The sequence below is a fragment of the Homo sapiens genome, chromosome 2 (genome assembly GCF_000001405.40).
Source record: "Homo sapiens chromosome 2, GRCh38.p14 Primary Assembly".
In the NCBI taxonomy this organism is placed as follows: domain Eukaryota; kingdom Metazoa; phylum Chordata; class Mammalia; order Primates; family Hominidae; genus Homo; species Homo sapiens.
This window is the reverse complement of record NC_000002.12, coordinates 117,914,737-117,931,911: the sequence shown is the minus strand read 5'-3', so window position 1 is coordinate 117,931,911 and position 17,175 is coordinate 117,914,737. Positions and strand designations below refer to the sequence as shown.

The 17,175-nt window shown below is 44.0% G+C and overlaps 1 protein-coding gene and 1 long non-coding RNA gene across 5 annotated transcripts in view; one reads left to right on the top strand and one right to left on the bottom strand.

Moving 5' to 3' along the window:
• The window catches only part of CCDC93 (CCC complex scaffolding subunit CCDC93), a 98,590-nt gene extending 82,159 nt beyond the window's left edge, over positions 1-16,431 (top strand). For all 4 annotated transcript variants that reach the window (XM_011511359.2, NM_019044.5, XM_011511361.1 and 1 more), the window contains 2 exons: positions 762-875; positions 11,516-16,431. In XM_011511359.2, coding sequence (XP_011509661.2) covers positions 762-875; positions 11,516-11,569 — 168 coding nt within the window. In that variant the 3' untranslated portion in view covers positions 11,570-16,431. The remainder of the gene's footprint in view (positions 1-761; positions 876-11,515) is intronic.
• Positions 242-10,183, bottom strand: LOC101929908 (uncharacterized). Its single transcript, XR_923242.4, has 3 exons — positions 10,094-10,183; positions 623-727; positions 242-505 (listed from the first exon to the last, which is right to left on the bottom strand). It is a non-coding gene; the product is annotated as an uncharacterized LOC101929908 (long non-coding RNA).
• Positions 16,432-17,175: the final 744 nt, after the last annotated feature.

The following is a 17,175-nucleotide window of genomic DNA, read 5'->3' as shown; positions in this document are numbered from 1 at the left end:
CACGTAGCTACTCAGTAGGTTCTAAGTCAATGTTTGTTGAATGAATAAGCTTTTGGATACCTTAGAAAAGTCTCTTTAAATCAAAGCCTAGCATCTATTTATGAGATCAAAATCCTGAAAATATCCTAAATTGTCTACCAGCAGGAAGATGGGTAAGTTAGCAATCAGCAGGAATATTGTATTGTTTTTAAAATGATAATTTGTAGAAAATTTATAATGACATGGAAATACTTACATTAAATCAAAAGAGGATACACGGTTTTATTATATGAGCACAGTTTTTAAATCAGGGTTTCTCAGCCTCAGCACAGTTAACATTTCGGGCTAGATAATTCTTTGCTGTGGGGGTGTCCTGTGCAATGTAGGATGTTTAGCAGCATTGCTGGCCTCTACCCAGTGATTCCAGTAGCACCCACTTCTCGCAGTTGTGACAATCAAAACTGTCTCCAGACACTGCCGGGTGGGGGATGGGGGGCAAAATAGCTCCTAGTTGAGAATCACCAACCTGTCCATTGTGAAATTGTAGTGAGAAAAAAAAATGGAAACAGTTAATACTCAGTGATAGAAAAATTGCTGAATAAATTGTAGAGCCTCCATGTAATATGCAAATAAATTAACCAACCTCAAAAATTATATATTGAAGCTTCCTCTACTGTAAGGAAATCCATGAAACTGTTAACAACTGTTGCCTTTTGGATGTTGCCAGTAGCCCTTGGGCAGAACATGTCTTTTCATCACCATTTCCCACAATGTTTCAACAGATGGAAAAGAAAAAGCAAGAGAACAAAATGAGAAGAGACCAGTTGAACGACCAGTACTTGGAGCTGTTAGAAAAGCAGAGGCTATACTTTAAGACTGTGAAAGAGTTCAAGGAGGTAAGAGGAAGGCTGGGTAGCACATTAAGGCTAACGTGAGATATATGTTCACCTCAAAAGTAGCCACTAAAAAACAGCAGTTTTTTGGTTTTCCTCTGGTCTGTGAAGGGAAATAACAAGACAGAGTGTGATCTGGCAGTGAAGTGTGGCGTCTAGGTAGCTGAAGATTGCGTTTTTCTGTGGCCCATCTTGAGGTCTAATTAAATGTTTTAAGACATCACATCACTTTAGTTTTCCTAACACTTAGTAAGCACATTAACTCACAAAATGACTCCATCAGTCCGTATCAAGGGCCACTTGGAAACAGCATTTGTTGTGGATTCAGATATAGAATCTTCTTTCCTGCCAATCTTAGGGTGGGGAGGGACCTCAAGAAGCTGTGTGGGAAGAGAGAACTTTGAAGTGTCACAGGCTTGGATTCGAATCCTACATTTACCACTTACCAGCTGTGTTTTTTGGCAATGACCTAATCCCTCCCAGCCTCAGTTTCCTCATTGGTGAATTCCGTTGCGTCAGGTGAGAAATTTGAAACATCCAGCACCAGGCCTGGCACCTCCTAACACCCAACACTCAACTGAATTTCGGTTTTCCCTGTTTTTCCTTCCTGCATTTGGGCAGTTACTCTTCATTGTTCCAGAAAGAAAAGTGCCTGCCCTTAAGAGATTTTCCAAAAAGACTTCATTTGGTCCCTTGCTAGGGTCTCAGCAGCTTTATTTTAAGGAATTCCTTCTCCCTAACCTAAATCCATGTGGTTTCAGTGAGTTTAGAGACTGCTGAAAATACAGCAGAGTTAAAGGTAGATTGTATCCTGGTGTTTGGTCTGCAGAATAAAAAATGTAGTCTTTCCATGCTCATAATTTTGTTCTTAATTTAAGACTTTTCTTCCTTCCTCATCTTTCCCTTGTCTTCTACATATTTCCTTATCTGTGATTTAACTTCTAGAAGCCACATCCCATAGGCATTTCAAAATCTCATCTTTTCCAGTGTTCCAGCTCCTACTATACCCCTGGGCAGATGCCAGGTTGTAACGCAGACCTCCTCCTCCTTAAGGAGCATACGCTGTGGTGGGAGAGACGGATGGCAAGCTAAGAACAAGTCATAACAAATAAGTAGTAACAATTCCAGACTTTGCCATGTGAGGAGACTGGTTTAGGTAGTGTGGTCTAGGAGGGCCCTCTAGGGTGAGCAGGACCTAGCCATCGGAAGAAAGAGTTCTTCAGCCACAGCAGTGCAGGAATGGGGAGCGGAGGGTCTGCGGCTCAGTCTGGGACTCCTTTGAGGCTAGCACAGGCTGCAGCTGAGGTCCCAGAAGGGCCAGTGAGTGAACTGGCAGGGAACAATTAGGAATTTGCTGCCCTACTCAGAGCTCCTCGTTCCCTTTAATCAAAACTAACAAAAGGAGAAGAACTGCATCTCAAATGCTGCTTGGAGACACCCTTTTGACAGTGTAGAAACAAAAAGCAAGTTGAGGAGGATAAGTATAAGCTGTCAAAGCAATTGAAAATGAAATGGAAAAGCTCATTCTTGCCCTGCAGGCTCTCAGATGAGAGCTTAGGATGACCTCCAAGGCACCAGTTCCTTCAGAGGTGTTAAGTGGCTTGGGTCTGGGTTCCCACCTGTGCTGGCAGTCATTGTCACACCAGACACAGAGGGTGGTTCCTTCAGATCCAGCTAAGACACCTAGACCAGATTCTTGCCAGGCCTCTTTCCTTCAGTCCAAAGCAAGTCAGAAGAGGGGGAGGGGATGAAATATGTTTTTGCATATTTCTTTTTTTTATTATACTTTAAGTTTTAGGGTACATGTGCACAACGTGCAGGTTAGTTACATATATGTACATGTGCCATGTTGGTGTGCTGCACCCATTAACTCGTCATTTAACATTAGGTATATCTTCTAATGCTATCCCTCCCACCTCCCCCCACCCCACAACAGGCCCTGGTGTGTGATGTTCCCCTTCCTGTGTCCATGTGTTTTCATTGTTCAATTCCCAACTATGAGTGAAAACATGTGGTGTTTAGTTTTTTGTCCTTGCAATAGTTTGCTGAGAATGATGGTTTCCAGCTTCATCCATGTCCCTACAAAGGACATGAACTCATCCTTTTTTATGGCTGCATAGTATTCCGTGGTGTATATGTGCCACATTTTCTTAATCCAGTCTATCATTGTTGGACATTTGGCTTGGTTCCAAGTATTTGCTATTGGGAATAGTGCTGCAATAAACATACGTGTGCATGTGTCTTTATTGCAGCATGATTTATAATCCTTTGGGTATGTACCCAGTAATGGGATGGCTGGGTCAAATGGTATTTCTAGTTCTAGATGCCTGAGGAATCGCCACACTGACTTCCACAATGGTTGAACTAGTTTACAGTCCCACCAACAGTGTAAAAGTGTTCCTATTTCTCCACATACTCTCCAGCACCTGTTATTTCCTGACTTTTTAATGATTGCCATTCTAACTGGTGTGAGATGGTATCTCATTGTGGTTTTGATTTGCATTTCTCTGATGGCCAGTGATGATGAGCACTTTTTCATGTGTCTTTTGGCTGCATAAATGTCTTCTTTTGAGAAGTGTCTGTTCATGTCCTTTGCCCCCTTTTTGATGGGGTTGTTTTTTTTCTTGTGAATTTGTTTTGAGTTCATTGTAGATTCTGGATATTAGCCCTTTGTCAGATGAGTAGATTGCAAAAATTTTCTCCCATTCTTTAGGTTGCCTGTTCACTCCTATGGTAGTTTATTTTGCTGTGCAGAAGCTCTTTAGTTTAATGAGATCCCACTTGTCAATTTTGGCTTTTGTTGCCATTGCTGTTGGTGTGTTAGACATGAAGTCCTTGCCCATGCCTATGTCCTGAATGGTGTTGCCTAGGTTTTCTTCTAGGGTTTTTATGGTTTTAGGTCTCACATTTAAGTCTTTAATCCGTCTTGAATTAATTTTTGTATAAGGTGTAACGAAGGGATCCAGTTTCAGCTTTCTACATAATGGCTAGCCAGTTTTCCCAGCACCATTTATTAAATAGGGAATCCTTTCCCCATTTCTTGTTTTTGTCAGGTTTGTCAAAGATCAGATGGTTGTAGATGTGCGGCATTATTTCTGAGGGCTCTGTTCTGTTCCATTGGTCTATATCTCTGTTTTGGTACCAGTACCATGCTGTTTTGGTTACTGTAGCCTTGTAGTATAGTTTGAAGTCAGGTAGCATGATGCCTCCAGCTTTGTTCTTTTGGCTTAGGATTGACTTGGCATTGGGGGCTGTTTTTTGGTTCCATATGAACTTTAAAGTAGTTTTTTCCAATTCTGTGAAGAAAGTCATTGGTAGCTTGATGGGGATGGCATTGAATCTATAAATTACCTTGGGCAGTATGGCCATTTTCACGATATTGATTCTTCCTACCCATAAGAATGGAATGTTCTTCCATTTGTTTGTATCCTATTTTATTTCATCGAGCAGTGGTTTGTAGTTCTTGAAGAGGTCCTTCATGTCCCTTGTAATTTGGATTCCTAGATATTTTATTCTCTTTGAAGCAGTTGTGAGTGGGAGTTCACTCATGATTTGGCTCTCTGTCTGTTATTGGTGTATAAGAATGCTTGTGATTTTTGCACACTGATTTTGTATCCTGAGACTTTGCTGAATCTATCAGCTTAAGGAGATTTTGGGCTGAGACAGTGGGGTTTTCTAGATATACAATCATGTCATCTCCAAACAGGGACAATTTGACTTCTTCTTTTCCTAATTGAATACCCTTTATTTCCTTCTCCTGCTTGATTGCCCTGACCAGAACTTCCAACACTATGTTGAATAGGAGTGGTGAGAGAGGGAATCCCTGTCTTGTGCCAGTTTTCAAAGGGAATGCTTCCAGTTTTTGCCCATTCAGTATGATATTGACTGTGGGTTTGTCATAGATAGCTCTTATTATTTTGAGATATATCCCATCAATACCTAGTTTATTGAGAGTTTTTAGCATGAAGTGTTGTTGAGTTTTGTCAAAGGCCTTTTCTGCATCTATTGAGATAATCATGTGGTTTTTGTCTTTGGTTCTGTTTATATGCTGGATTATGTTTATTGATTTGCATATGTTGTACCAGCCTTGCATCCCAGGGATGAAGCCCACTTGATCATGGTGGATAAGCTTTTTGATGTGCTGCTGGATTCGGTTTGCCAGTATTTTATTGAGGATTTTTGCATCAATGTTCATCAGGGATATTGGTCTAAAATTCTCTTTTTTGGTTGTGTCTCTGCCAGGCTTTGGTATCAGGATGATGCTGGCCTCATAAAATGAGTTAGGGAGGATTCTCTATTTTTCTATTGATTGGAATAGTTTCAGAAGGAATGGTACCAGCTCCTCCTTGTACCTCTGGTAGAATTTGGCTGTGAATCCATCTGGTCCTGGACTTTTTTTGGTTGGTAAGCTATTAATTATTGCCTCAATTTCAGAGCCTGTTATTGGTATATTCAGAAATTCAACTTCTTCCTCGTTTAGTCTTGGGAGGGTGTATGTGTCCAGGAATTTATCCATTTCTTCTAGATTTTCTAGTTTATTTGCGTAGAGGTGTTTATAGTATTCTCTGATGGTAGTTTGTATTTCTGTGGTATTGGTGGTGATATCCCCTTTATTATTTTTTATTGCGTCTATTTGATTCTTCTCTCTTTTCTTCTTTATTAGTCTTGCTAGCAGTCTATCAATTTTGTTGATCTTTTCAAAAAACCAGCTCCTGGATTCATTGATTTTTTGAAGGGTTTTTTATGTCTCTATTTCCTTCAGTTCTGCTCTGATCTTAGTTATTTCTTGCCTTCTGCTAGCTTTTGAATGTGTTTGCTCTTGCTTCTCTAGTTCTTTTCATTGTGATGTTAGGGTGTCAATTTTAGATCTTTCCTGCTTTCTCTTGTGGGCATTTAGTGCTATAAATTTCCCTCTACACACTGCTTTGAATGTGTCCCAGAGATTCTGGTATGTTGTGTCTTTGTTCTCGTTGGTTTCAAAGAACATCTTTATCTCTACCTTCATGTCGTTATGTACCCTGTAGTCATTCAGGAGCAGGTTGTTCAGTTTCCATGTAGTTGAGTGGTTTTGAGTGAGGTTCTTAATCCTGAGTTCTAGTTTGATTGCACTGTGGTCTGAGAGACAGTTTGTTATAATTTCTGTTGTTTTACATTTGCTGAGGAGTGCTTTACTTCCATCTATGTGGTCAATTTTGGAATAGGTGTGGTGTGGTGCTGAGAAGAATGTATATTCTGTTGATTTGGGGTGGAGAGTTCTGTAGATGTCTATTAGGTCTGCTTGGTGCAGAGCTGAGTTCAATTCCTGGATATCCTTGTTATCTTTCTGTCTTGTTGATCTAATGTTGACAGTGGGGTGTTAAAGTCTCCCATTATTATTGTGTGGTAGTCTAAGTCTCTTTGTAGGTCTCTAAGGACTTGCTTTATGAATCTGGGTGCTCCTGTATTGGGTGCATATATATTCAGGATAGTTAGCTCTTCTTGTTGAATTGATCCCTTTACCATTATGTAATAGCCTTCTTTGTGTCTTTTGATCTTTGTCGGTTTAAAGTCTGTTTTATCAGAGACTAGGATTGCAACCCCTGCCTTTTTTTGTTTTCCATTTGCTTGGTAGATCTTCCTCCATCCCTTTATTTTGAGCCTATGTGTGTCTCTGCATATGAGATGGGTTTCCTAAATACAGCACACTGATGGGTCTTGACTCTTTATCCAGTTTGCCAGTCTGTGTCTTTTAATTGAAGCATTTAGCCCATTTACATTTAAGGTTAATATTGTTATGTGTGAATTTGATCCTGTCATTATGATGGTAGCTGGTTATTTTGCTCATTAGTTGATGCAGTTTCTTCCTAGCCTCAATGGTCTTTACAATTTGGCATGTTTTTGCAGTGGCTGGTACCAGTTGTTTCTTTCCATGTTTAGTGCTTCCTTCAGGAGCTCTTTTAGGGCAGGCCTGGTGGTGACAAAATCTCTCAGCATTTGTTTTTCTGTATTTTATTTCTCCTTCACTTATGAAGCTTAGTTTGGCTGGATATGAAATTCTGGGTTGAAAATTCTTTTCTTTAGGAATGTTGAATATTGGCCCCCACTCTCTTCTGGCTTGTAGAGTTTCTGCCAGGAGATCAGCTGTTAGTCTGATGGGCTTCCCTTTGTGGGTAACCTGAGCTTTCTCTCTGTCTGCCCTTAACATTTTTTCCATTTCAACTTTGGTGAATCTGACAATTATGTGTCTTGGAGTTGCTCTTCTAGAGGAGTATCTTTGTGGCATTCTCTGTATTTCCTAAATTTGAATGTTGGCCTGCCTTGCTAGATTGAGGAAGTTCTCCTGGATATTATCCTGCAGAGTGTTTTCCAACTTGGTTCCATTCTCCCCATCACTTTCAGGTACACCAATCAGATGTAGATTTGGTCTTTTCACATAGTCCCATATTTCTTGGAGACTTTGGTCATTTCTTTTTATTCTTTTTTCTCCAAACCCCTCTTCTCGCTTGATTTTATTCATTTGATCTTCCATCACTGATACCCTTTCTTCCAGTTGATCAAATCGGCTACTGAGGCTTGTGCATTCATCATGTAGTTCTCATGCCATGGTTTTCAGCTCCATCACGTCCTTTAAGGACTTCTCTGCATTGGTTATTCTAGTTAGCCATTTGTCTAATTTTTTTTCAAGGTTTTTAACTTCTTTGCCATGGGTTCGAACTTCCTCCTTTAGCTCAGAGTAGTTTGATCGTCTGAAGCGTTCTTCTCTCAACTCATCAAAGTCATTCTCTGTCCAGCTTTGTTCCATTGCTGGTGAGGAGCTGCGTTCCTTTGGAGGAGGAGAGGCACTCTGATTTTTACAGTTTCCAGTTTTTCTGCTCTGGTTTTTCCCCATCTTTGTGGTTTTATCTACCTTTGGTCTTTGATGATGGTGATGTACAGATGGGGTTTTGGTGTGGATGTCCTTTCTGTTTGTTAGTTTTCCTTCTAACAGACAGGACCCTCAGCTGCAGGTCTGTTGGAGTTTGCTGGAGGTCCACTCCAGACCTTGTTTACCTTGGTATCAGCAGCAGAGGCTGCAGAACAGCGGATATTGGTGAACAGCAAATGTTGTTGCCTGATCATTCCTCTGGAAGTTTTGTCTCAGAGGAGTACCCAGCTGTGTGATGTGTCAATGTGCCCCTACTGGGGTGTGCCTCCCAGTTTGGCTACTCGGGGGTCAGGGACCACATGAGGAAGCAGTCTGCCCATTCTCAGATCTCCAGCTGCGTGCTGGGAGAAACACTATTCTCTTCTAAGCTGTCAGACAGGGACTTTTAAGTCTGCAGAGGATTCTGCTGCCTTTTGTTTGGCTATGCCTGCCCCCAGAGGTGGACTCTATAGAGGCAGGCAGGCAGGCAGGCAGGCAGGCCTCCTTGTGCTGCGGTGAGCTCCACCCAGTTTGAGCTTCTCGGCTGCTTTGTTTACCTACTCAAGCCTCAGAAATGGCGGGTGCCCCTCCCCCAGCCTCACTGCCGCCTTGCAGTTTGATCTCAGACTGCTGTGGTAGCAATGAGTGAAGCTCCATGGGCGTAGGATCCTCTGAGGCAGGCGCGGGATATAATCTGCTGGTGTGCCATTTGCTAAGACCGTTGGAAAAGCACAGTATTAGGGTGGGAGTGACCCAATTTTCCAGGTGCCATCTGTCACCCCTTTCTTTGACTAGGAAAGGGAATTCCCTGACCCCTTGTGCTTCCTGGGTGAGGCGATGCCTCACCCTGCCTCGGCTAACGCTGAGTGCACTGCACGCGCTGTCTTGCACCCACTTTCTGACACTCCCCAGTGAGGTGAACCCGGTACCTCAGTTGGAAATGCAGACATCACCCGTCTTCTGCCTCGCTTACACTGGGAGCTGTAGACTGGAGCTGTTCCTATTCGGCCATCTTGGTTCCACCCCCTGAAAATCCTGCATATTTCATTTAAATATATTTCACCTCACATTTAGCATGTCCTTTTATTTTTTGGTGTTAAAATTGTCTTAGAAAATAATTGTGATGGTGGGTAGTCCTTTTTTTTTTTTGAACATATTACTTGGCAAAAATTTAAAACTGGCACCCACATGTCAGTGTTCCAGCATCTTTCTCCCACAAGCTCTTTTGAGGTAATTTGGGGCCACCACAGGTGTTGAGGAGGAGGTGACGATAGGGACTTGCTTGCTACTCCACAGCCTCTACCCCATATCTTCAGCCAGACTAGTTCTGCTGCTTTTCTGTTTTATATATTACAGTTTAATTTGTACTTTCATCCAGGGTGGAGCCTTCTCCAGCACCCTCTATTTTGCCTTCTCACCATCCCCTCACTGGCCCTCTACTTCTGCGTTCTGAATTCTCACTGCATCCTGGGCCCAAGCACTTGTAGTGTGCAATAATTATTCTTCATGGAAAACACAACATTGTTGTCTACCATATGGTTTTTTGCCACCTTAGCGGTTGCCTTTGTTGGGTTTGATTTACCCCACGTTAAATGGGCAACAGTTATGCACCGTGGGCGCCATCAGGTCATGATACTAAGATTTAAATTCAATAGCACTGATGAATTCAAACCCTACATTTTTGTGAAGCTGGCTTTCGGTACATAACCTTGAGTGAACTTAGCTCTCTGTCTGGCACCTAGTGGGCATGGATAGAGTTTTCAGCAGGAAAGAGACTGAGGTGATGAGACATTTTCCCTTTTCTTCTAGAAACAAACACCCAAAGCGCCTCTTTTGTATTTGCTTTGAAGAGACGGAGAATATGATTCTGTAGGCTCACATACTAGGTGACATTGCAGGCTGTCTCTACCGAAAAGTACAAGCATCGCCTAGGGTTCTGTGACACACACAGTTCCCCACGGTAGAGTTCTGATGCTGTTTTTGCCTCATTTAAACGGTGAGGTGGGTGACAGTTTAAACTTATTTACTGTTTCATATTTTTGTTATGGAAATCTTAAAAAATATACAAGTAGAGAGTGTAGTATAACAATATAATAGTGTAGCTCTCTGTTCTTGTTCCATCTCTTCCACTCCATTTGTTTTAAGCTGGAGTCTTTTTTCCCCCCAAGTACATCTCAAGCCATTTTTAAAAGGAACCCAGCATCACCTTATTTCTGTCCCCCCACTGCCCTGCCCATGAACTGCCCCTCTCTCCCCAAAAAGGTGCTCAAAAGTGTCAGAGCACCTTGCTTCTGACAGCCTCAAAGTATTCAGCCTTACCACCAAGACAAGCACCCACCTGTTTCCTTGCTCCCTGAGTGAAGGACACATCTGAATCCTGTAGATGAGCCAGCACTAGTCTTAGCAAAACCAAGGTCGTTGTGGTCATGCTGCCATCACACTGCCAAAAGATCAGGGCCTCCAGAGAGCTGGGAGCACCTGACCCTGGCCCAGGGAGCTGGAAAAATTGACCGTGGGGGTTTTGAGTGCAGAAGGTTCAAGGGTAAAAGTTTTTCTCCCACAATAAATGCACCTCCAGGAAAACACAGCCCCTGGAGGCCTGACCACTGCCAAGCCTGTGAGCTCTACCTCTCCGGGCCCTTTCTGCTACCACTTTTATCTCCCAATTTAAAAGCAGGACTCCTTGTGACCCTGCCCAGAGAATGGGGTCAGAGTTATTGGAGGTTTGCTAGCAGATGGAGGTATCATGAGCTACTAAGGCCAGTGGAACAAGGGCAGGAGGCGCAGTTAGAAGCTTTTGAAGATGATCCCAGAGGGAACATGAAATGATGCAGAGGTGACTTGTGCCACTGGATGTCAGATTCTACAGGCAGAGGATGGGACAGTGACCTCCCTCAGTGATAACCCGTAGCACGTGCCATTGATTTCATACAGTTCGGTTTTAAGGAAGGGCAGGTTATCTTTTTTTTTTTTTTTTTTTGAGACAGAGCCTTGCTCTGTCACCCAGGCTGGAGTGCAGTGGCACAATCTCGGCTCACTGCAAGCTCCGCCTCCTGGGTTCATGCCATTGTCCTGCCTCAGCCTCCTGAGTAGCTGGGACTACAGGCGCCTGCCACCACGCCTGGCTAATTTATATTTTTAGTAGAGACGGGGTTTAGTAGTAGCCAGGATGGTCTCACTCTCCTGACCTCATGATCCGCCTGCCTCGGCCTCCCAAAGTGCTGGGATTACAGGCATGAGCCACTGCGCCCGGCCCCATTATCTCTTGATGAATATCTCTTATCCTATTTTCTGAGTTTCTTAAAGACAAGAATATTCTTAACTTTCACTGTTAGAACTCTATGTGTTTTGCCTGCTATGTAAACTAGGGCTCCCTTTTATCTCTTTTTAGGCTGCTGTCTCCAAAGCCTTTCCCCACTCCCTCACCATAGTAGGCCAAGACTGGCAGATAAGTGTGCTTTCTGCTTCTATCCCCTTGAAGTTTCACAGACTTCATGAAGTCTTTTGGAATGACAGTGCCTATCCTCTCATCCTATTTTCAGTCTGACAGCCCAGAAATGGAGCATCATTATAGTTATATTGGTGTTGATGTCAGTAGGTCATCAGGAAGCTTCACCATCCTGGCGGCAGCATGCCAAGAGACTGGGTTGGCCAGGAGATGTCTCCCATAGGGATATGGGAAGGGCTTTGAGACCATCTTGGCCTCACATGGGTGCTAATGTAGTCACCACTCTCTCTATACTCTCTGCTTTCCCTCCAGGAGGGCCGCAAGAACGAGATGCTGCTGTCCAAGGTGAAAGCGAAGGCCTCCTGAACATCCCCAGCCGTGGCTGTATGTCATTGATTTTACTTTTAAGCACCGTATATCACCTACAAGATCATGAAATGGTTCTGAAAGCGACAGTAGAGAGATGCAGTTGTGATGATTTCAACAACCTGGATGTTTTCTTTCTCCTCTTTGCTTCCATTCATCTCTGTTGGCTGCTGTTGATGGAGTCAGACAGTAAACACGTGGCTTGGATAACACCCATCATCCTATGAAGAATATAGGGAGTACTTGTTCTCTGTTGATTCAACTTTTATGTCTCCAGTAACATTGCGCTTATGAAGGTACCTGTATTTGTATGGACTCTGAATAAAGAAGAATTCATTTGTTTAGCAAGTATTAGTTCAGCAACCACTGAGAAATAAGCACTGAGGAAGATTCAGAGACGTGTAAAACACAGTTCCTACTGCACAAGTACCCAGCAGGTGGCCCAGGGAGGCAGATACAGCACACTTGACCGCAGAACTGGGCTATCCAAGATGTTTTTCAGTAAACAGAAGGCATTTAGCTGAAATGATCAGCCCATGTAGTGTTGGTCACTTGGGCCTTTCACCTGCCATGGTACCTTTTGTTCCCAGCTCCTCCAGGTGCCAGCCAGCAGGCTTGGTGGTGACAGCAACTGGAACGAAAGTTCAGTGTTGTTTTAATTTTTATACGTTACTCAAGTTGATTTCTCAGAAAATTGAAAACAGACCTTGTGCTGAGGACACGTCAATAAAAATTATACCTTCCCCTGCCCCAATGTTCATGTGAGTCACAGCATGCAGAGGGGCTGTGCATCCCCCTCATTGAAGGCACATTTGATGAGGCTACGCTGCAGATGGGTCATGGTCTGAGCCAGGAGAGAGATAGACACTGTTCCCTGCACTCAAGGCAAGTAGGGTGTCAGGAGGAAGAGCAGTAGGGTTTGCAGAGATCCAGGGAAACTTCCTGGAGGAGGCAGCATTTGAGCCCTATCTAAAGGGAGAATCGGATGTTGATAGGAAGACTGTTTTAAATGAAAATACACTATGATTAAAAACCCAAGAGAGTGCAGAGGAGTACAAGGCATGCATGTTGGGAAAGGAGGGAATAAGCTAGTCTCTGCAGGAGGCTTCAGAGACCCGTCTGGGAAGTAGGGCTGAGACTAGGCTTTGGAGGGCCTTGAAGGGCAGCTGAGGGTTGATTTTAATCCTTGGAAATGACCAGTGCAGATCAAACATGGAGCTCCTGCTGCCCTGGTCCTCAGGAGTCTGGTAACTCAGTCATGTTCTGTAGGTTTGTGCTCCATTTTGCATAAATCTTGCAAACATACCAGGTGGCAGGTTTGCACAGTAACACAAAAGCTTAAACATGTCAAGCAAGTGGGGCATTCAGCAGCCACAGAAATGTGTTCATTTTTAGTCCCTAATGGATGTGATTAAGCAGGGCTGATGTGTACAGATTTAAAAACACACACACGTGCTGGATTAAAAACAGCCACTGGTTTCAGTGCCAGGGCCAGCAAGGCCTACCTGAGCCAGGCGGAAGCAGCAGCTTGCAAATAGAAACTGCCACCTGCGAGCGCTTCTTGGGTCATGTGCAGCTCCACCTCAGCTGGTCCCTGAGCCGTGGTCATGTGGGGGTTTTGAAGGGCTAAGTTGAAGCAAGTAATTGCAAAAGAACAGGTGGCACTCTGAGGGCAGGGGAAGGAGACAGAAGTTTGACTGCGTTTGAAATTATTTCAGTCAGGGAAACATCTGCGTTGTCTTGTTAAGCAGCTTGTAGGCCCACCCCTGGCTAACTGAACTTTGTGAGCAGTTGGGGCAGTTATTTGAATATTTGTCCAAAGGTGGTAGGGAGGCAGATGACATTCTGGGGTTACTGGAGTCCACCTCTGTGCTGATGGGGAAAGTATGGCATGATGAATCCAAAGCAACCAGTAATTCTTTTTGAAAGTGCAGGCATTTATTTTGAGCTGTATTTCATAGGAGTTTCATTTGGTTTGGTTTTGGTATAGAGAGGTGTCCATAGATCTCTATTCCCTTTTTTTTTTTATCGACAAGGCCTACTACGGATAAATCAGTTTTTGTTGCCTGAATACACTTTGAATTAGACTACAGAAGCCAGTTTGAGCTCAAATTTCACACTTGCTGCAGACAACTCTCAGTGTGGACAGTGCCTTTCTGAGTAATTAGGATGTTACATGACTTTTTGGTGAAGCCGTATAGGGTAAGGAGATGCCCCAAGGCCCCTGATCATTTCAGAAGCCACCTGGAGCACCAGAAGGGGTCATCTTCCCAGGGCTATGGCTCTGTGTGCTTAGACAGACATAGTATGGAATTGTGCTCTAAGCCCACAGGCTTCTCCGGAGTTAAAAGGAAGCAAGAACATCCTTAAGTTACTTTTTCAAAATATGCGCTTCAGGAGGAACCAGGTTTCCCCAGGAGAGAGAGGCTCCCTGCTCAATCAGCACAGGGAGTTGCTAGCGGGCAGGCTGCCCAGTGCTGTGGAATCTCCGCCAGCCTCTGGGTTGGGGGCTCCCTCCCACTTCTTGCTTCTTATGGAGTACATGGGACTGCTCTGCTTTAAGCCGCGATCAGAGCTGTTGTGAGCAGGACAAGATTGCGTGATCACGAGGTGCGTGGGGAGATGCTAGGACATTTGTTGATGTCTTTGACCTGTGCTCCGTCTCTGTTGGATGACTGGGTTAGCTAACACCACTAGAGGGAGGTACAGAATGTTAAACAGTCGTCAGAGTCACACTGAGGGTTGTTTTAACAGAGGGCAAATTCCCAGTTTGTCAAGCATATCTCTGTTAGAGTCCGAAGTTCATGGTTTTAATGGTTCTAGCTCGTAGCCCTTAATATTTTCAGGATAGCTGGGTCCTGCCAGTGTCCGCTGAGTCCATCAGCACAACCAGAAGGTCCAGGGTCCAGGCATGGGAAGCATTCTCTGACAATACCGAGCCCTCGGGACCTCCTGAAACCTTGAGCAGAGGCTGGAGAAGACCTTCAGACAGTCCTTTTACTACCTCACAAAGTGCCATGCCCGGGACCTCAGACCTCAGGGTTGTGACGTTGTTGATGTTGTCAGGCCCCAGTACGTCTCTAGTGACCGAAGCAGACCTGCCTGAAAGGGCACTCCGGACAGTGAGCCCTGGCTCTAACCTGTGCCCTCATATTTCTGCTGCCTCATATGGTCTTGTTTGCCCACTCTGTAGGTGACTGATCACCCTAAAAGGGAGGTAGGTATCTAGCAGTAGCACAGTTACTTTGAGCCTGACCACTTGTTCTGAAGTGCAGATGTTGAAACATGCATTGAGGAAGAACACTTTAAGGAAGCACTTTATGATTTACTCATGGCTGGTGTTGGCCTCAAAGTAAAAGAACATCTTAATGCAGAACAGTACAATAAAGAGCCCCATAGGATGGATGCCATCATCTGTCCCCATGGTTGGGATTGCCAAGGAAAGTGCCTTGTTCTGTGCATCTTCAGAATCCCCCAGGCCCTCTCTTGATCCTTTTCATGAAGTCCAGAGCATTCCTTCTATTACAGGCTGAAGATGCATTGTAAAAGGTAATGCTATAATAGTATTCCCTCTTCTCAATAAATGTGCAAAACTGGAGAATCTGGTGCTGATCTGCAGCATACTTGACAACACAGGGAATACCGTGGATGTTCCACGCCAGCCTTACATCCGTCCCCATTGCCTGCCCATGTCCAGTGGCCCTGCGCAACAAAAGTAAGGGCTTGTCTTACCACACTCTCCCCAGCATCTAGCTCAAGGTAGATGACTGACTGGGAAATTCCGGTTGGATAAAATGGCTTTTCCACATTGCAACTTTGCATCTCTATTAGGAAAATTTAGATTGAACCTTTCCTCTACTTGATGCTTAGTTTGAGAACAGTTTTCACAACTTTAGAGGGTCTCTCTCAGAGTATGTTATACTGTAACCTTGAAGTTTGAGATGAAACAAGGTGTCAGAGGTTTTGAATCTTTCAAAGGAATTGCCTTTTACAGATTTTTTTTTTTATTCCCTAAGAAGGGAAAAAGAGAGGGAAGAACTACACTAATGTTAGAGATAAGGTATGTTTTGGCTCAAAATGTGTCATGAACCTAAAGGTAACTTGATGGGCAGAAATGTCTCAGCCATGTGAACCAAGAAGTGGGACCACAGTGCAAGGCTGTGGGTGGCAGCACTAGATACGGTGGTGGCAGGAGTGTGACATGTAGGCACTCCATGGGGGACAGCTGGACGGTGTCTATCAAAAGTGCAAATGCATAAGCTCTTTGAACTAGCAATGCTACTCCTAAGAATTGTACCTGTGTACAAGGTACTTGTGTACAAGAGTTTTTGTTGAAACATTGTAATAGCAAAAAGTTGGAGAGTGCCACCAATACAGGGGAATGGTTAAATACATTATGGCCAGCTTAAACAATGGAATAGTTTGTAGAAATTTAAAACAATGGATCCTGTGTGTGTGTACTACCATAGAATGGGCCCCAAGATGCATGATTAAGTGAGGAAAAAAGCCCATGGTATCCTAATGTTTGGAATGGAGAAAGTGTGTAGATGTATGTGTGTGCATATGTTTTCACACAGACGTATACACGTGTATATCATATGTCCACCTGCATATGCCTAGGATGTCTCTGGGAGGATATCTAGCAGCCCGGCAGCCTGAATTGCCTCTGGGAAGAGGGGTGGGAATGACTTTTCAATGTACACCTTTTGTACCTTTTGAATTTTGTACCATGTACATGTATTATCTATTAAAAAATAGTTCTTAATTTTTAATTTGGTATACTTTTCTTAATAGAACCAAAATGGAAGAAAATTCTGATTCTCTAAATCTGCTTTCTTAAAGATAAAGCCTTTGATTCAAAAGTAGTGAGACTCTTTCTTGGGTCTTGAGGCAATGGGCCATGCAAAGGGAGGTGTCCTTTTCTGGTGGAATAGAATGCGGCAGTGAAGCAGAGGCTGGCTCTTCTCACACTCTGGGAGCATGTTGGGCTGGCAGAGGGAGGGATGGGGATGGGGAAATGGATGGTGATGTGACTAATCACTGGGACAGACGGGCTGCTGCAGGGTTCCGTCCATCTTACAAAAATCACAGTGCAACCCTGGTCCTCTGACTTTTGGGGTACAAAAGATAGGCATACCTCTGAGTCATGATTCAAGGGGGGCTGTTAACATCCTCCAGAAGCCGTGCCCATCTTGTGTAGAAACCTGCTGTGGGTGAGCCTTCCCCACCCCTGCCTTCTTTTAAAAACCAACACAACTCTGATTTTGTCCAGCTCCGAGGTGGCCGTGTGTCAGCCCCAAGAGAGGAACATGACAGCTTTTCCAGTCAGGGGAATCTCACTTTTTTTGGCCAACTGCTGGTTTGCGGATGGATGTCTAACCCAGTTATGACCAGTTTTGGGGAGACTGCTGAACTTCTGGCAAAGACTTTCCTGATGATCAGTGAGAGATGCACTAGGAGAGCTTCACCCTTTCTTCCTGTGATAAGTTATGGAGGGGGGACAGGGTTTGAGCAACTTCAGCCATCTTGAGACCATGAAAAGAGACATCACAACACACTGAGGTTGGCAGAGGGAAAAGGTGGAAAGAGCCTTGGCTCTCTGAAGG